General features: G+C 43.4%; 1 non-coding gene and 1 pseudogene across 2 annotated transcripts in view; both read left to right on the top strand.

Moving 5' to 3' along the window:
- HMGN2P46 (high mobility group nucleosomal binding domain 2 pseudogene 46) overlaps positions 1 to 20,861 on the top strand; it is a 45,595-nt pseudogene that overhangs the window by 13,286 nt on the left and 11,448 nt on the right. The window contains exon 4 of the transcript NR_022014.1: positions 11,664 to 11,788. The product of NR_022014.1 is annotated as a high mobility group nucleosomal binding domain 2 pseudogene 46 (transcript). The remainder of the gene's footprint in view (positions 1 to 11,663; positions 11,789 to 20,861) is intronic.
- SNORA41B (small nucleolar RNA, H/ACA box 41B) lies at positions 12,830 to 12,958 on the top strand. Its single transcript, NR_145777.1, has one exon. It is a non-coding gene; the product is annotated as a small nucleolar RNA, H/ACA box 41B (small nucleolar RNA).

Consider the following 20,861-nt stretch of genomic DNA (forward strand, 5'->3'; position numbering starts at 1 on the left):
ATTCTATCTCAAGAAACCACTCTCTCTGCTTATCTATAAGAAGCAACTCCTCATCTGTTCAAATTTTATGAGATTGCAGCAATTCAGTCACATCTTCAGGTTCCACTTCTAGTTCTCTTGCTATTTCCACCACATCTACAGTTACTTCCTCCATTGAAGTCTTGAATCCCTCAAAATCATCCATTAGGGTTAGAATCCACTTCTTCCAAAATCCTGTTAATATTGATATTTTGACCTCCCATGAATCACGAATGTTCTTAATGGCATCTGGAATGCTGAATCCTCTCCAGAAGTTTTTCAATTTACTTTACCTAGGTCCATCAGAGGAATCAATGGCAGCTATAGCCTTATGAAAGGTATTTCTTCTTTTTTATTCATTTATTTTTATTTTTAGATGGTGTTTCACTCTTGTTGCCCAGGCTGGAGTGCAATGGCGCGATATCGGCTCACCGTAACCTCTGCCTCCCGATTTCAAACTATTCTCCTCCCTCAGCCTCCCAAGTAGCTGGGATTACAGGCATGTGCCACCACGCCTGGCTAATTTCGTATCTTTAGTAGAGATGGGGTTTCACCATGTTGGCCAGACTAGTCTCGAACTCCCGACCTCAGGTGATCCACCTGGGTCGACCTTCCAAAATGCTGGGATTACAGGCATGAGCCACCGCGCCCGGCCAGTCACCCAGGTTTTGTTCCATTTATAGAGCACAGGTAGAGTAGATTTAGAATAATTCCTACGGGCCCTAGAATTTTCGGAATGGTAAATGAGCATTGGCCTTAACTTAAAGCTACGGGCTGCATTAGCCTCTAACAAGAGAGTAAGATTGTCCTTTGAAGCTTTGAAGCCAGGCATCAACTTCTGTCTAACTATGAAAGCCCTAGGTGGAATCTTCCAATAGAAGGCTGTTTCCCCTGTATTGAAAATCTGTTGTTTATTGTAGTCACCTTTAATGATCTTAGCTACACCTTGTGGACAACTTGTTGCAGTTTCTCCATCAGCATTTGCTGCTGCTTCTTGCACTTTTATGTTATGGAGATTGCTTTTTTCCTTAAATCTCATGAACCGACCTCTGCTAGCTTCAAACTTTTCTTTTTTGTTAAAAAAATTATTTAATTTATTTATTTTTAAATAGAGACAGGGTCTCACTATGTTGCCCAGGCTGGTCTGGGTATTTCTAATTTCCTTCAAGAACCTTCCCATTTCCCAGAGTCAAGTGATAAAAGTTTAATACAAACAAACAAACAAACCCAAACAATAAAAAAGAACTTTTCATTTGCATTCACAACCTGGGTAAGAAAAGGCATAGTGCAGGGCATGGTGGCTCACGCCTGTAATCCCAACACTTTGGAAGCCTGAGGCAGGCGGATCACCTGAGGTCAGGAGTTCGACACCAGCCTGGTCAACATGGTGGACCTCTACCATAGTAGAGACAACCCTGTCTCTACTAAAAATACAAAAATTAGCTGGGTGTGGTGGCATGTGCCGAGTAGCTCCCAGCTGCTTGGGAGGCTGAGGCAGGAGAATCGCTTGAAGCTGGGAAGCGGAGGTTGCAGTGAGCCTCGCACCATTACACTCCAGCCTAGACGACAGAGCAAGACTCCGTCTCAAAAAAAAAAAAAAAAAAAGAAGAGGCATAGCTTTCAGCCTATCTCAGCTTTCTTTCTTTTTTCTTTCCTTCCTTCCCTTCCCTCCCTTCCCTTCCCCCCTCCTTTCCCCTTCCTTCCTTCCCCTTCCCCCCTCCTTTCCCCTTCCTTCCTTCCCCTTCCCCCCTCCTTTCCCCTTCCTTCCTTCCCCTTCCCTCCTCCTTTCCCCTTCCTTCCTTCCTTGCCTGCCTCCCTCCCTCCTTCCTTCCTTCCTTTCTTCCTTCCTTCTTTTCGTCCTTCCTTCCTTCTTTCCTTTTTTTGGAGTGCACAGGCACAATCATGGCTCACTGAAACCTCTACTGCTCAGGCTCAGGCAATTCTCCCACCTCAGCCTCCCAGAGTGTTAGGATTATAGGCGTGAGCCACCATGCCCATCCTTATCTCAGCTTTCCATATGCCTTTCTCACTATGGTTAATAATTTCTAGCTTTTGATTTAAAGTGAGAGATATACAACTCTTCCTTTCACTTAAACACTTAGAGGTCATTGTAGGGTTATTAACTGGCCCAATTTTAATATTGTGTCTCGTAATAGGGAGGGCCAAGGAGAGGGAGAGTGAAGGGGGACGGCTGGTCAATGGAGCAGTCAAAACATATACAACATTTATCAGTTAAGTTTGTCATCTTATATGGACAAGGTTCGTGATGTCCCCAAATAATTACAATAGTAATATCAAAGATCACTGATCACAGATCAGTATATCAGATATAATAATAATGACAAGGTTTGAAATATTAAGAGAATTACCAAAAGGTGACACAGAGACATGAAGTGAGCCCAGGCTATTGGAAAAATGACGGCGACAGATTTGCTTGACACAGGGTTGCCATAAACCTTCAATTTGCAAAACTGGCAATATCTAACAAGTGCGAGAAAGTGAAGCACAATAAAACAAGGTGTGCCTATAGAGGTGTCCTTTTGGCTATTGGGTCTGTTTCACAAAAAAAACAAAAAACAGCCAGATGCAGTAGCTCATACCTGTAATCTCAACACTTTGGGAAGCCAAGGGGAGAGGATCTCTTGAGGTCAGAAGTTTAAGACCAGCATGGGCAACATATTGAGACCCCGTCTCTCCAAAAAATTTTTTTAAAGCCTCCAAGGAATTGGCGGTTGCAGTGAGCTATGATTGTGCCAGTGTACTCCAGCCTGGGTAATAGAGGGAGACCCCATCTTTAAAAATCAAAACAAAACAAAACCAAAAAAAGAGGAAGAAGAAATAATTGTGGCTTTTTTGTTTTTTGTTTTTTTGAGACAGGGTCTCGTTCTGTTGCCAAGGCTGGAGCGCAGCGGTGCGATCTCGGCTCACTGCAGCCTTGACCTCCTGGGCTTAATCTATCCTCCTGCCTCAGCCTTTTGACTAGCTGGGACCATAGGTGCTTGTCATCATGCCCGGCTAATTTTTGTATTTTTTTCCTTGTAGAGATGGTTTTTTGCCATGTTGCCCAGGCAGGCCTTGAACTCCTGGGCTTAAGTGATCCTCCTGCCTCAACCTCCTGTAAGTGCTGGGATTACAGGTGTGAGCCACCATGCCCAGCCAATATTTAAATTCTGTAGTAGCTTCTGATTTAAACCTAAATTATAATATCACAATGGAATGGCAATATGCACCCCTAGCAAAATCTTACAGTTTTGTTTTTTTTTTTTCTTTGAGACAGGGTCTTGCTCTGTCACTCAGGCTGGAGTGCAGTAGTGTGATCTCGGCTCACTGCAACCTCTGCCTACCTGGTTCAAACAATTCTCATGCCTCAGCCACCCGAGTAACTGTGATTACACACAAGCACCACCATGCCTGGCTAATTTTTCTATTTTTATTGTTATTATTTATTATTATTATTATTTTTTGAGATGGAGTTTTGCTCTTGTTGCCCAGGCTGGAGTGCAGTGGTACGATCTCTGCTCACTGCAATCTCCGCCTCCAGGGTTCAAGCAATTCTCCTGCCTCAGCCTCCTGGGTACCTGAGATTACAGGCACCTGCCACCACCCCCAGTTAATTTTTTGTATTTTTAGTAGAGACTGTGTTTCCTCATATTGGCCAGGCTGGTCTCGAACTCCTGACCTCAGGTGATCCACCTGCCTCGGCCTCCCAACGTGTTGGGATTACAGGCGTGAGCCACCGCGCCCAGCCTAATTGTTCTATTTTTAGTAGAGACGAGGTTTCACTATGTTGGCCAGGCAGATCTCAAACTCCTGGCCTCAAGTGATCCACCCACTTCAGCCTCCCAAAGTGCTGGGATTACAGGCATGAGCTACCACACCTGGCTGTTTTAGAGATTCTTAATCTAGATTTTCTGAGTGGGTTTTAGGGAGTTTGGGAGGCCTTAAACTTATGTGCAAAATTTTGAGGACATGTATATTTTCTGGGATAAGTCTTTTAGCTTTCATCGTATTCTCAAATTGGATTGACTCAAATTAGGTTAAAAACAACAACATTGTCAGGAGAGCTCATCTTAAAGGTCCAGCCCCTAGCTTCTACTTGAGTTGAATTGTAGGGCAAACTCCTATTTATCCAGCGTTTTTTTTTTGAGACCGAGTCTCACTCTGTTGCCCAGGCTGGAGTGCAGTGGCGCGATCTCAGCTCACTGCAAGCTCCGCCTCCTGGGTTCACGCCATTCTCCTGCCTCAGCCTCCCCAGCAGCTGGGACTACAAGCGCACGCCGCCACGCCCAGCTAATTTTTTGTATTTTTAGTAGAGACGCGGTTTCACCGTGTTAGCCAGGATGGTCCCGATTTCCTGACCTCGTGATCCGCCCACCTCGGCCTCCCAAAGTGCTGGGATTACAGGCGTGAGCCACCGCGCCCGGCCTATCCAGTGTTTATGAATGTTGTATTTTTATAACAGTCCCCATGTATTACCAAATTTCAAGTTACAAAAAATACAATAAAAAGTCACATGAAACGTCATTTTCCTCTGAAGATTGAAATGGCACTTTAGAATCTTGTATGCCTCAGATGCAAGAAATCAACTCCTTTAAATATGACTCCTCGGATTTAAATGCCCATCATATTTCTACAGAGCTGCAGCCACGGGAATCAAGGTAGGAAACCTAGATCAGAGATTCCATGTTCCCTAGACCAGGAAGGGAAAACTATTTCCTGGTTAACCAGGGCACTCTGGTAATAATCAGCTGAAAGGAGAGATCTTACTGGGGGTTGCTTTCCTAACTCCAAATATTTTAATCCACCGGGTTTGGGAGTAGGTTTTTTTGTAGTTGTTTTGAATTTCACTTTGTTATACTGTCTGAAATTCTACTAATGAGAGATACAAACGGATAAAGAAAATATTTTAGGAGTGTGATCATTTTCTCTTTAGTATAAATCCTTCAAAGAAGATTCCATTTAAAGAAATTGGATAAATGTTTTTAAGAAAAGTTAAGGAAAGAGCGTGAATTGTTTTGGGTACTTACAGCAAGCTTTGTTGAATAGGGCTGCAGTTCTGCCTCCCAGTTTGTTTTTATTATTTTTCTCACTGGGTACCTGGAGAAAGTGATGGGAGGACAACAAAAACTCTATATGGTGATTTTAAAGTATATCCACAAATTCTGTGATACTCTACTTATCAAGAGGTGGAGCTTAATTTCCTTCCTATTGAGCGTGGACTGCACTAAATGAGTTGCATGTGGCCTGTAATGAATATGGCAGAAGTGACTCTGTGTGACTTATAAGACTAGGTCATAAAAGGTATTGCAGCTGCCTCCTCATCCTCACACTTGGATCGCTTGCACTAGGAGGAGCCAGCTACTGTGTCATGAGGAACTCAAGTGGCCCTGTGGAAAGGCGTGTGTGATGAGGAACTGAGGCCTCTTGCCAACAGCCATGTGAGTGAACCATTTTGGAAGTGGACCCTGTAGTCCCAGCTAAGCCTTCAGATAACTATAGACTGGGCAGTGCTAACTAAAACCTGGAGAAATCCAGAGCCAGAACCACCCAGCTAAGCCATTCTCAGATGACCCACAGAGACTGCATGAGATAAGAAATGTTTGTTTTAAGATGGCAAGTTTTGGGATACTTCGTTACACAGCAATAGATAACTAATATGTTATGTATCAGTTTTCCTGCATACCAGGAAAGACACTTTTCTTATTCCTTTATCACATGGGCTCTTATTCCTCAGCCTGCCCTCAGACTAGTGGCATGATTTCTATCACTGAGCTTCAAAATGGGCTAAATACATAGACTTCTGCAAATAGGCTTGGAATGTAACTACAATTTGCAACCTTATTTCTACGCACTCGGAGTTTATAATAATAGACAAATGAACTTTTGAAACAGTGCACACTTATAATCTCGGTACTGCCTGCAATTCTGTTTGCTAGCTATTGCTCAGTATGCCATTCTTTTTTAAGAGACTTCATACGTTTTTCTAGTCTGAAGAATTTATTTATTTTTTATTTTAGTGAGACAGGGTGGAGGGGCAGGTCTCACTATGTTGCCCAGGCTGGTCTTGAACTCCTGGGCTGAAGTGATCCTCCTGTCTCAGCCTCCCAAGTGCTGGGATTACAGGCACGAGCCACCAAGCCCAGCCTGAATAACTTCTTGCATGGCAGATGGAAAAGGCTGCCAACCATTTAGCTAGTCTCTCAACCAGGCAACTCGTAATATGCAGATTTAGGCAATAGCAGAAGCCTGTCAACTGAATTGCAAGACACATACCTTGGGGCAGTTGAAAGGGATGGGCATAAAATTTCCTATGTCAAAATTTGTTTTCTGGTCCAGATATCTCTTGAAAAAAATGGCTGGGTGTTGTGGCTTATGCCTGTAATCCCAGCACTTTGGGAGGCTGAGGTGGGTAGACCACCTGAGGTCAGGAGTTTGAGACCAGCCTGGCCAACATAGTGAAACCCCCGTCTGTACTAAAAATACAAAAATTAGGGCTGGGTTTGGTGGCTCACACCTGTAATCCCAGCACTTTGGAAGGCTGAGGCAGGTGGATCACGAGGTCAGGAGTTCGAGACCAGCCTGACCAACATGGTGAAACACCGTCTCTACTAAAAATACAAAAATTATCAGGTCTTGGTGGTGCGCGCCTGTAATCCCAGCTACTCAGGAGGCTGAGGCAGGATAATCACTTGAATCCGGGAGGCAGAGGTTGCAGTGAGCCAAGATCGTGCCACTACATTCTGGCCTGGACAACAGAGCGAGACTCTGTCTCAAACAACAACAACAACAAAAATTAGCTGGCTGTGGTGGCGGGTGCCTGTAATCCCAGCTGCTTGAGAGGCTGAGGCAGGAGAATCTCTTGCACCTGGGAGGCGGAGGTTGCAGTGAGCAGAGATTGTGCCATTGACTCCAGCCTAGGCGACAGAGCAAGACTCCATCTCATTAAAAAAACAAAACAAACAAAAAAACCTACTGAAAATAATATCATAGCTAGGATACTTAAGGCTTGTGTGCCAGGCACTATGAGGGCACCCGACTTACATTAGCTCATTTAGTCATTACCACATCACTGTAATGAAGGTAGTGATTGAAAGCATGGGTCTTGGAGTCAGACAGATTGTGTTTGAGTCCTGGCCTCACCACTTATAGTTGTATGGTCTCTGGCAAACTATTTAATCTCTTTATGCTTCAATTTTCTTACATATAAAATGGATATAATAATAGTACCCACTTCACAAGGGTTGTACTAAGGATTAAATAAGATAATGCCAGTAAAGCATGTAAAACTTAGCACATATAATTCCTAGCACACAGTATGCGTTCAATCAATGCCAGCTATTTTTATTTTTATTTTCCTTTTTTTTTTTTACTTTTGACACAGCCTCAGGAGGTCCTGAGGACATGTGCCCCAAGCTGTTATTTTTTATGTAGATGAAGACATAGAGTCTCAGGGAGGTTAAGTATCTTGGTCAGGATCATGCAGTTAGCAAACAGAGCAAGAACTCAATTTGGATTAGCTTTGTTTCTGAGCTCAATCTCTTAACCATTACCCCACACTATCTGCTCAGTTTCTTTCTGCCCAAAAATGGAATGCTCTATAGAAAAGCATCTAGACTCTGAAGCATGTCAGGAGAGATCCCTGTTTCATATATCAATGACTTGCCAGAACCTTGAGACTTCAGCATCATCCTGTGAAATCCCCATTGAAAATGAGCAAAAAGAAAGTGGAAAAGTTTTTTAAAAGTGAAATATGGGAGAAGATGCTACTTGGTTGAGGTTCAAATTCTGCGTATTCCCCATCCCAAGAATGCATCTCTATTGGAGTATGTGGCCGTAGGAGATTCCTATAGGATGTTTTAGAATGTGTCCCCTTATCTTCTTCAGGAGGGGATGAAAGTTGTTGAATGCGTGGAACAAGGGTTAGTGATGTGATACACAACTACAGTGAGTGTAATAGTTTATTCCTTCTATGAGTTGTTACCAGGAAGGATTCCTGATCCAGACCCCAAGAGAGGGTTCTTGGATCTCATACAAGAAAGAATTTGAGACGAGTTCATACAGTAAAGTGAAAGCAAGTTTATTAAGAAAGTAAAGGAATAAAGAATGGCGACTCCATAGGCAGAGCAGCCTTGAGGGCTGCTGGTTGCCCATTTTTATGGTTATTTATTGATTATATGCTAAACAAGGGGTGGATTATTCATGCCTCCCCTTTTTATTATTTATTATTTTTTAGACAGAGTCTCATTCTGTCGCTCAGGATGGCTAATTTTTGTATTTTTTAGTAGAGATGGGGTTTCACCATGTTGGCCAGGCTGGTCTCAAACACCTGGCCTCATTTGATCCACCTGCCTCAGCCTCCCAAAGAGCTGGGATTACAGGCATGAGCTGCCGTGTCGGGCAATGCCTCTCCATTTTAGACCATGTAGGGTAACTTCCTGACGTTGCCATGGCATTTGTAAACTGTCATGATGCTGGTGGGAGGGTAGCAGTGAGGATGACCAGAGGTCACTGTCATCCCCATATTGGTTTTGGTGGGTTTTGGCCGGCTTCTTTACTGCAACCTGTTTTATCAGCAAGGTCTTTTATGACCTGTATCTTGTGCCGACCTCCTATGTCATTCTGTGACTCAGAATGCCTTAACTGTCTGGGAATGTAACCCGGTATGTCTCAGCCTTATTTTACCCAGCCCCTATTCAAGATGGAGTTGCTCTGGTTTAAATGCCTCTGACAGAGTGGCTGGAGTTTCAATTTAATACCTCCTCTCAGGGAGGAGAAAGAGAAGGAGAAGGACCCAAAATAGATAAGAGAATTGCCCAAGGATGGCAAAGGCCCCCTTTTGGACAGGGAGGAGATAAAGGAGAGGGTCAAGAGCCCATCTACCCCGTAAGGCAAACCAACCTGCCAGCCAAAACCGAAATTTAGTCAAGTTCATTGTTCTCATAGCTTTGTTTTTTGCTTTCCCTTAGTTTTTTTTTTTTGTTTGTTTTGTTTTGTTTTGTTTTGAGACAGAGTTTTGCTCTTGTTGCCTGGGCTGGAGTGCATTGGTGCAATCTCGGCTCACTGCAACCTCCACCTTCTGGGTTCAAGCGATTCTCCTGCCTCAGCCTCCCAAGTAGCTGAGACTACAGGCATGTGCCATCATGCCTGCTAATTTCTGTATTTTTAGTAGAGATGGGGTTTCACCATGTTGGCTAGGCTGGTCTCGAATGCCTGACCTCAGGTGATCTGCCTGCCTTGGCCTCCCAAAGCGCTAGGACTATAGGCATGATCCACTGCGCCCGGCCAAACTGAGACCCTTAGTTTTAAAGTAAATGTTCCTATGGATTTCTCTAAGCATATCTGGCTGAAATTAGCAGGAATAGGAGGTCCAAGATGAGAAGGGGTTTTGGGAGTTAGGATACCAGCCCCAGAGTCTGAGGCGGTGGCTGGGCTAGAGGAGCTTAAAGTTGAGGGTGGAAGGCTGAACTTGGAAATACATTGGGAGTTTCATCGTAGACAGGAGCACCACAAGAGAACTCAGAGAAACTGATTCAGCATCTAATTTTGTAATCCGTTCACTGTGACCCCTAGCAGTGTAATATTAATAATTGTTCAGCTTATTTTCTTGTCTGTAAAAAGTGGAAAATAATGTTTGTCTTACCTATTTCATTGGGACACTGTAAGAATCAAACAAGATTTTGTATGTGAAAGCATCTTCCTTTACCGCTTTACCAGAAAGAGACATTAAAGACCATGCCACCTGAACTAAACTACAAAGCAAGGGTATGGACAAATGCTAATCATCAAGAATTCTCAGTCGGGGGTGGTGGCTCACCCCTGTAATCCCAGCACTTTGGGAGGCCAAGGCAGACAGATCACTTGAGGCCAGGAATTCAAGATCAGCCTGGCCAATGTGGTAAAACCCCATCTCTACTAAAAATACAAAAAAATTAGCCGGGTGTGGTGGTGCACGCCTGTAATTCCAGCTACTCGGAAGGCTGAGGCATGAGAATCACTTGAACCTGGAAGGCATAGGTTGCAGTGAGCCGAGATCACGCCACTGCACTCCAGCCTGGGCGATAGAACAAGACTCTGTCTCAAAAAAGAAAGAATTTTCCACTTACATTCGTCTCTTCTTAGGATTGCTAAACCCAGTCCTTGGTTTATTAATGACGCATTCTGACTTATTTCGAACTTATTTAGAACTCCACCACACATTGTTACTTCATTCCTATCCTAAGCTGTTTTTGCAGCCATAGCACCTGATCTCATACTTGCAGCAGGAACCCAGTAAATACTCATGGACAAATATACGCAAATATTTTAATCATAGAGAGTTTATCCATAACCTTAAATTCTCCTTTAACATAAACATTTCTATTTCTTTAAGCTGGAGTGTAAGGCCATTTCTAAGGAATTTTTTCAAGTGGTGATATCAATGTGTCTTATAAGATCAGTGATTATTAATACACTCTTAGTTCATATTTATACTATATCTATTTCAAAGAACATTATAACATTTACGAATCAAGCCAGGACAAAGAAGCAACTGCAGACAAAGTGACTCTTTTGTGGCCTCTAGTAACTTGTGGCTTCAAACAATGAGGGCCATTGTATAAACTCCTTTGAGGGGTCATTGTGAGAATTAATTAGATTAAAATCTGCAAAGTACTTTGAACTTTTTCCAGAATTCCCTTACAAATAAAGATGACATTAATTTTTTTTGGGGTATCTTTATGTTGGTCCTCCCAGAATCAAATGTAACAAGTTCACCTGCTGTTGAACTGCCTGTGTTCCCTGAAGCAAATCCCAAGACTAAGCCAAATTTTATCTTTAGTGATTTTAAGCTGACCCCAAGAGCACACACAATGGAGCAGAATTTGTTGCCCTTATCACAAAGAGCTTGGTGTATGATATGCATGACGCAGTGTCTCATAATCCCTATGCCACATGGTAATTAAATATAAATTACTGCAGTTATTACAGCTATTTTATAGTGACCAACAGTTTTACCCTCCTTTTTGTTATTTATATTTGAATAATTTACATTCTGCTCATTTGCAATAGGATTTAAGGCAGCCTTCCCTTTAGTAGTTCTTCCTTATCCCTAAACAATGTAAATACTGAAAAACTTTCCTGATTCCGGTAACTGTTTAATCCGCATTGTATGAACAGAAGCACAAGCAGGCATTAAAGACAGAGTCTTAGATCCAACTCTCTAACAGCTGGGGCTCCTTGGGAACCCCTTCTCCTTAGTCTCCTGATCTTCTCTGATCCCAATCTTGTCCCCAGTGACCCCCTCAGCCCATGCTGTCCTCTACCCTTCCCAAGAAGGAGCAGCTCTGAATATTCTGAGTGCTGGGCTTGGGGCAGCAGAAACTGTGGAGCAGCCCCAGGTGAGCCCTGGGGAACAGTAGGATAAGAGGCCTATTGTAAATGAGGAACCTGTCTGGCAGGTGACCAACTTGGTTTGCTTGGAAGTGAGGGGGGTTCCCAGGACATGGGACTTTCAGTTTACTAGGACTAATTTACCTGGGCATTAGACTAGGTTCTGGGACCCTGATATTGGTGGAGTCTTTTCTGGGTGGGGAGAGAATCTTATTTGGGAAAGACACCTTGTTCCTTTTGGGCCCTGCAGCACACTGGTCTGGGTTATGTCTTCTCAGGGAACTCCGGATGTGACTCCTGTTACATGAAAATGGAAGAGGTCAGAGTTGTCCAAGAGGGAGGCCAGCCACATCCAGGCAGGGCCCCCATGGTCAGAACCCTGCTAGAGCCATCAAGGTCCCAGGTCAGTTCTGCAGCTTTGCAGGTGTGGAAATGACACCTGTGGGTCAGGCTGGGGAAGCTAATGCATGCTAAACAACTGCCGTTAAGAGACTCAGCAGATCACTGTTGTGGTTATCTTCATAATCCTGGGGGATATACCTTTGCCATTTCCCTGCATGGCCCCCTTCACAGGACCAGTGATATGAGAAGCCAAGTTGCCTTAGAGCTAGAACAAAGGTTTTTGTGTGTTTGTTTGTTTGTTGAGACAGAGTCTCCCTCTGTCACCTAGGCTGGAGTGCAATGGCACGATCTTGGCTCACTGCAACTTCCACCTCCCGGGTTCAAGTGATTCTTCCACTCCAGGCTCCCAAGTAGCTGGGATTACAGGCACTCACCATCATGCCTGGCTAATTTTTGTATTTTTGTAGAGACGGGGTTTCACCATGTTGGCCAGGCTGGTCTTGAACTCCTGACCTCAGGCGATCCGCCTGCCTTGGCCTTCCAAAGTGCTGGGATTACAGACGTGAGCCACCGCACCCAGCCTAGAACAAAAGTTTTGAAAGGAGAAAAAGGTTGGTTGGTTGGAGACAGGGTCTTGCTCTGCTGCCCAGGCTGGAGTGCAGTGGCATCATTTGGGGTCACTGCAACCTCTGCCTCTTCCTATGTGTAATTTTTAAGTGAAAATGGAAAATCCTAGTTTAGTTTTCCTGGAAATTTTTCCCCAGGCCCACATCAGGTGAGGCCCACAGATAACCAACCCCCTCTACTGTGTACTGATTGTTATAATTTAGGGGAGGACATTCACGTACTACTACTCTAGCTGCCTTTAATCCTCCCAGTTGTGTTTAGTCCTGAGTTGTGACCTCAAAGCTCATAGGCCTGTCTTCCTTTTGTAAATAGTTTGGATATTTTTATCTCAAAGTGCATTATTTTGCACTTGCTCCCACGAGAGCTCATTTGTCAATTGTCAGATCACATGGTCAGATTTATAGGCTCTTCTGATTATCTAGCTCAGGAATTGGCAAACGTTTTCTGTAAAGGCCAGATAATAAATAATTTCACTTCCACCACTATTGGTCTGCAGCTCTTCTTATGGTAGCAGTTGTTGCATTTCTCTGTGGGAAAGAAAAGAGGATTAAACACCTCTTTCTTAGCAAAACAGAGAGTAGGCATATGTGTGACAGACACAAGATGTATTCTGTAGTTTTGTTTGGCAGGAGATGATCCATTTCAAAACAAATTAAGAAGACTTGGAAAAAAATATAATTCAGTATTTGAATAATGCTGCTTCTTGTTCTTTTTAAAAAATAATAATTTTAGGCCAGGCGCGGTGGCTCACGCCTGTAATCCCAGCACTTTGGGAGGCCGAGGTGGGCAGATCTCGAGGTCAGGAGATCGAGACCATCCTGGCTAACACGGTGAAACCCCATCTCTACTAAAAATACAAAAAATTAGCCGGGCGTGGTGGCAGGTGCCTGTAGTCCCAGCTACTTGGGAGGCTGAGGCAGGAGAATGGTGTAAACCCGGGAGACGGAGCTTGCAGTGAGCTGAGGTCGCTCCACTGCACTCCAGCCTGGGCGACACAGCAAGACTCCGTCTCAAAAATAATAATAATAATAATAATTTTAGCTTTGCAGCAATCCTCAGGTGTCAGTCAGTCACTCTGCTGTTGTAGCAGCAGCCAAAGAGAATAAACAAATGAGCATGGCCGTGTTCCAATAAAACTTTATTTATGGAAACTGGGATGTGACTTTCATATAATTTTAATGTGTCACAAAATATTAGTTTTCTTTCCATTGTTTTCAACCACTTAAAAATGTAAAAACCACTCTTAGTTTGCAGGCTGTACAAAAACAGGCACTGGCGCGATTTGGCCCAGCATTTGCTGACCCCTGATCTAGACCTATCTGCGTAGAAGTGTTGTTAGAGGTTTTATCGCATAGGCTGTCCTCCAGATCATTTACACATGTTAGTATGTCCTTTCCTAGCACAGATGCCTGAGACTTAGGCTCTTGGTTTCATCAATCCTCACTTCCCAATATACTGTTTTTAAAAATTTATTTATGTATTTATTTACTTATTTTGAGACGGAGTCTCACTCTGTTGCCCAGGCTGGAGTGCAGTGAGCCCAGGTAGCGCTACCTCGGCTCACTGCAACCTCCGCCTCCTGGGTTCAAGCAGTTCTCTACCTCAGCCTCCCAAGTAGCTGGGATTACAGGTGCCCATGGTATGGGATTACAGCCACCATGCCTGGCTAATTTTTGTATTTTTAGTAGAGACAGGGTTTCACTATATTGGCCAGACTGGTCTTGAACTCCTGACCTCGTGATCCACCCACCTCAGCCTCCCAAAGTGCTGGGATTACAGGCGTGAGCCACAGCACCTGGCCTATTTTCTTTTATTTATTATTTATTTTTTATTTTTTTGAGACAGACTCTCACCCTATTGCCCTCACAAGTAGCCTCCCAAGTAGCTGGGACTACAGGCACCCACCACCATCCTTGGCTAATTTTTGTATTTTCAGTAGAGACAGGTTTCACCATGTTGGCCAGGCTGGTCTCGAACTCCTAACCTCAAGTGATGGACCCGCCTCAGCCTGTCAAAGTGCTGGGATTACAGGCATAAGCCACGGTGCCCGGCCCTCAAATGTACTATTAAGGCAGCAGTATTTATACCACCCAACTGCCTTCATTTGGGCCAGGTATAGCTGGGGCCCCGGAACCCACCAGAATGCTTGCTTGTGGCTGTTCAAGCATCTTAGTGGCTCCTGTGAAAATACACTGGACCTTTCAAAATGGAAATCTGATTGTGTCTCCAACCTCTTCCATGCCTCCACGCTTAGCTCAGGCACTTGCCTCTTTCCTCTGAGCTGTAGTGTAGCTGCAGTAAACTTGTGTTTTCTGGGGTTCTGAGCACAGGCCTTTTCATGTGCAGCTTCCACTTGGAATACCTTTCTTCATCATTCTTTTAGCTAGTTAATTAGGTAAGCTCTCTAGAGCCACTCTCCTGCATGGCACCCATCATGCCCCAAAGTCTAGATGAGTCAATTTGTTACATGTTTCACTTTGTAATGTTATCTTCATTAGTGGCATTATTTGACTAATGGCTGCTACTAACTCTCATTAGACTCTAAGCTCCAAGAGAGTGAGGGACTGTATCTTTGCACACCACTGTATCTTCTGCACCTGGCACTGTGCCTGGCACAGAGTTAGGTGGTCAGCAAGCAACCCAGTAGGCCACAGCCTGCTGCCTGGGGCATTGATGCCTATGAGAGTTCCCTCCCTTTACTAGCAGAGTGAACTTAGATGAATTATAAGATCTCTTTGAGCCTCAGTGTCCTTCTGTGTAAAATGGAGGTAATAACATAACTAGTGTCGGGTTATGGTGACTTAAATGAGATAATGTGCCTGGCACATGGCCTGATCTAGTCACTACTAGATTAACATTAGTCTCCTTCTCCCTTCCTATTATTGAGGTCCATTCTGTGGGTGCCTGACACCCAAGTATCACTTGCCCAGATTCCCCCAAGTGCACAGGACTCCATCTTTCTGTTGAGAACTGCACAGTTTCCATCGAGAAATCCAGAATTAGAGATGTGACTACCGTGCCCTTCATATATCCACTGCCTTCCCAGGAACTGTCACTTGGGCCTCTAGTTCCCTCCCCTACCTTGAATCAACAGGCCCACCCATTATTTTTGCTTCTGAGCTAGTTCCTTATTGCCTCACAAAACATTCCACTTTCACGCAACTTTTATTATTAGCCTGTCCTTTGGAAACCTGTCCAAGGTTTTATTAAGGCTTCTAGGTGAGTAATACTAAGCTGTTGTTTATCTACTTTTCCATTTTTTTAACCACTTAAACATGTAAAAACCTCACAGAAATTTGTCAGATTTTCTCTTTAAAGATATCATCTTGACAGTCTTCTCTGAAATTAATTTTATTTATTTAGCTTGCCTATTTCACAAATGAACCATAATTTTCCAGATTCCCTTTATAAATTTCTAAATGATAATAAATATTGTCATGTAATAAAAATTATAATATTTTGAGCCCACTGTGCTAGGAACCTTACACACACTATTTAATTAATTATTATTATTATTTTTTTTTGAGACAGAGTCTCACTCTGTCACCCAGGCTGGAGTGCAGTGGCACAATCTGGGCTCACTACAACCTCCACCACCCGGGTCCAAGGGATTCCTGGGCATCAGCCTCCTGATTAGCTGGGATTACAGGCATGCGCCACCACACCTGGCTCATTTTTTTTGTATTTTTAGTAGAGACAGGGTTTTGCCATGTTGACCAGGCTGGTCTTGAACTCCTGGCCTCAAGTGATCCACCCACATTGGCCTCCCAAAGTGTTGGGATTACAGGTGTGGGCCACCACGCCCAGCCCACTATTTAATATAATCCTTATAACAATCCTTCATAGTAGACACTATTGTTCCCATTGTGTACATGGAATAAATGAAATTTTATAAATATTTTGTTCTAAGTCACACAGTTAGGAATCAAGATTTGCATCAGGTTTGTATGAGTCAGGTGCCCATTGTCTTTTCACTCTGACCTTTTTCCTCCTTTCTTAGGCTTGTTGGTTCATAATGGTGGTGGGGAGGGTATGTATGTCATATTTTTGCTTTTCCAACCTCCTGAGTATACAGCCAGTTGTTATGACCAGTTACCCAATTTTGCCAATGGCCCCTCAGTGTCATGTTGCACTTCCATCAGAAGTTGGGTAGGTCTTGAAGTATTATCCTTGTATTGAAAACAGTAATCATCCATCCATCTATCCATCCACCCATCCATTCAATATTCCTTAAGAGTCTGTATACTGACCGGGGGTGGTGGCTCATGCCTGTAATCCCAGCACTTTGGGAGGCCGAGGCCAGCGGATCACCTAAGGTAGGGAGTTCAAGACCAGCCTGACCAACATGGAGAAACCCCGTCTCTACTAAAAATACAAAATTAGCCGGGTGTGGTGGCACATGCCTGTAATCCTAGCTACTCAGGAGGCTGAGGCAGGAGAATCGCTTGAACCCGGGAGGTGGAGGTTGTAGTGAGCTGAGATCGTGCCATTGCACACCAGCCTCGGCAACAAGAGTGAAACTCTGTCTCAAAAAAAAAAAAAAGAGTCTGTATGCCAGATGCTATGCTATGTGCTAAACATGTCTTAGACCAAAGAAATGTGTCCCTAGTTTTTAAAATCAAGACATTGTGGAGTTAGTGGAAGAGGCATTTGGCGGGTTGGGGGGTTAGGGTAGGGATGAAGAAGAGAAAGGAAGGGAAAGGAAGGAACTTCCTGTGAAGTCATTCCCCTGGGCACATGAGTATGATGGAGGAAGGCAGGGGAAGATATTGAGATTCTTACACAGCAAGATAGGAATGATAAGGCAAAACCAGCAGAATTTTGCCCTGGCATGAAATACTGCCTGTTTGTGGTACCTTATGCTTTTCAGTTCCCTTCTCCAGAAGCTGATGTTTTCCTATATCTCTGATGTTCTATTTACTCTTTTTGAAGCCACTTTTAGAAATTGGCCAGCATATGGACATGGTGGTGCAGCATATGGATGTGGTAGTCCCAGCTACTTGGGAGGCTGAGGCAGGAGAATCACTTGAGCCTGGGAGGTTGAGGCTGCAGTGAGCTATGACTGAGTCACTGCACTCCAGCCTGGCATGATTATAGCTCACTGCAGGCTAGGTTAGTGGAAGATAAAGGCTCTCTCAGGCTGCCAAAAAAAATCAAGTTTCTGACTCTAATCAGGTCCTGAGAGCGAGACCATCTCAAAAAAAAAAAAAAAAAAAAAAATTGGCCAGCATAGATGTTAACCTTTGCATTTTGTGTTCTCTGTGTAGGTAGCATATCCACTCATCTCAACAGCCTACCAGAATTGTGACAGTAGATTCAAGTTATGCTTTTTAAAAGATTTAAACTGATTTACTGGGCTTAAGAAGGGGTTTACTTCTTTTTTTTTTTTTTTTTTTGAGACGCAGTTTTGTTCTTGTTGCCCAAGCTGGAGTGCAATGGTGTGATCTCCCTCCGCTCACTGAAACCTCCGCCTCCTGGGTTCAAGCGATCCTCCTGCCTCAGCCTCCTGAGTAGCTGGGATTACAGGCATGCGCCACCACACTCAGCTGATTTTTTGTATTTTTAGTAGAGACAGGGTTTCACCATGTTGGCCAGGCTGGTCTCAAACTCCTGACCTCAGGTGATCCACCGGCCTCAGCCTCCCAAAGTGCTGGGATTACAGGCGTGAGCCACCGGGCCCAGCCTACTTCATTTTTTCCCTTGGTTTTGCATGTGTTTGTGTGTGTGTATTAGTCTGTTCTCACACTGCTATGAAGAAATGCCCAAGACTGGGAAATTTATGAAGGAAAGAAGTGTAATTGACTTTCAGTTCCACATTGCTTGGGAGGCCTCAGGAAACTTGCAGTCATGGTAGAAGGCAAAAAGCAAGTGCCTTCTTCACAGGGCAACAGGATGGAGTGAGTGCAAGCAGGGGAAATGCCAGATGCTTAATGCAACCATGAGATGTCATGAGAATTCATTCACTATCATGAGAACAGCATGGGGGAAACTGCCCCCATGATCCAATTACCTCCACCTGGTCCTGTCCTTGACATGTGGGGATAATGGGGTGAGATTTGGATGGGAACACAGAGCCAAACCATATCAGTGTGCATGGTGAATGCATTTGCACACAAGTGTGTATAGACTTGTACATGTGAAAAGCAAGGGGGGCCTGGATTGTTGTTCAATCCTTAAAACATGTTCAGACAGAGGAATCCTGGTGATTAGAAGAGTCCTCACAAAGTGGCCTTTACTTTGGTAAGTTCATTGTGAAATCAGAGTCTGAAACTTGATTTTATTAACAGCCTGAGAGTGCCTTCATCTCCCACTAACCTAGCTTACGAAAACTAGTAAATACAAAGGAAAATATTGTGAGTATGCAAGAAAGTGTTCATATGTTTTAGAGATCCACACTAAAGTGAATGGTTATCTCGGTCAGCCTGGGCTGCTACAACAAAATACCATATGCTTGGTGGCTTAGAAACAACAGGAATTTTTTGCTCACATTTCTAGAGGCTGAAAAGTCCAAGATCCAGGTGCCAGCAGATTCCATGTCTGGTGAGGGCCTGGTTCCTGCTTAAGAGATGGCTGTGTTCTCCCTCTGTCCTCACATGGTATAAGGGGCTAGGGGCCTCTTGGGGTCTTGGCACTTATCTCATGAGGGCTCTGTCTCCATGACTTAATCGTCTCCAAAAAGGCTCCACCTGCTAATATCATCTGGGTGGGGTAGGATTTCAACATATGAATTTTGGGGGACAGAAACATTTACACCATGGCAGTGGGGAGGGGTCTAGGATTTTCTTTAATATAGTTTAGTTTTTTTATTTTTATTTTTTTTTTTATTTTTATATTTTTTGAGAGGGAGTTTCGCTCTTGTTGCCCAGGCTGGAGTGCAGTGGTGTGATCTCGGCTCATCGCAAGCTCTGCCTCCCGGGTTCAAGCGATTCTCCTGCCTCAGCCTCTCAAGTAGCTGGGATTACAGGCATGTGCCACCACATCCGGCTAATTTTGTATTTTTAGTAGAAACAGGGTTTCTCCATATTGGTCAGGCTGGTCTCGAACTCCCGACCTCAGGTGATCCACCCACCTCAGCCTCCCAAAGTGCTGGGATTACAGGTGTGAGCCACCACGCCTGGCTATATAGTTTAGTTTATAAAAGTGGGAGAAAGTGAAGCAAGTGTAGGAAAATCTTGATTATGATTGAACATGGTTATAGGGTATTTCATACTATTCATTATACCTTATATATATTCATTATATTATTTTCTTCACTTTTTTCCTTTTACTTATTTAAAAACCTAGAATACTTTTGTATGTTTGAAATTTTTCTTTTTTTTAACTTTTATTTTAAGTTGAGGAGTGCACGTGCAGGTTTGTTATACAGGTAAACGCTTGTCGTGGGGGTTTGTTGTATGGATTATTTTGTCACCTAGGTATTAAGCCTACTACCCACTAGTTATTTTTCCTGATCCTCTCCCTGCTCCCACCTTCCACCTTCCAGTGGGCCCAAGTGTGTGTTGTTCCCCTCTTTGTGTTCATGTGTTCTCATCATTTAGCTTCCACTTATAAGTAAGAACATGTGGTATTTGGCTTTCTGTCCCTGCATTAGTTTGCTAAGGATAATGGGCTCGAGTTCCATCCACGTCCCTGCAAAAGACATGATCGCACTCTTTTTTGTGGCTGCATAGTATTCCATGGTGTATATATACCATGTTTTCTTTATACAGTCTACCACTGATGGACATTTAGGTTGATTCCATGTCTTTGCAATTATGAATAGTCTTGCAACAAACATACGTGTGGATGTGTCTTTATGATAGAATGATTTATATTCCTTTGAGTATATCCAGTAATGGGATTGCTGGGTCAAATGGTAGTTTTGTTTTTAGATCTTTGAGAAATCACCACACTGTTTCCCATATGGTTGAACTAATTTACACTCCTACCAACAGTGTATAAGCATTTCTTTTTCTTCACAACCTTGACAGTACCTATTATGTTTTTACTTTAACCATAGCCATTCTGACAGGTGTGAGATGATATCTCACTGTGGTTTTTATTTGCATTTCCCTAATGGTCAGTGATGTTGAGCTGTTTTTCATATGCTTGTTGGCCACATGTATGTCTTCTTTTGAAAAGTGTCTGTTCCTATTAATGGACTTGTTTGTTTCTGTAAATTTGTTTAAGTTTCTTTAAAATAGTTTAGTTTAGTTTTTAAAAGTGGGAGAAAGTGAAGCAAGTGTAGGAAAATCTTGATAATGATTAAATCTAGTTATAGGGTATTTCACAGTATTAATTATATATATTCACTTTTGCGTGTTTGAAACTTCTTTCTTTCTTTCTTTCTTTTTTTTTTTTTTTGAGACAGAGTTTTGCTCTTGTCGCCCAGGCTGGAGTGCAATGGAGTGATCTCGGCTCGCTGCAACCTCTGCCTCCCAGGTTCAAGCGATTCTCTGGCCTCAGCCTCTCCAATAGCTGGGACTATAGGCATGAGCCACTATATCCAGCTAATTTTTTGTATTTTT

Source organism: Homo sapiens, chromosome 15, assembly GCF_000001405.40.
Source record: "Homo sapiens chromosome 15, GRCh38.p14 Primary Assembly".
In the NCBI taxonomy this organism is placed as follows: Eukaryota; Metazoa; Chordata; class Mammalia; order Primates; family Hominidae; genus Homo; species Homo sapiens.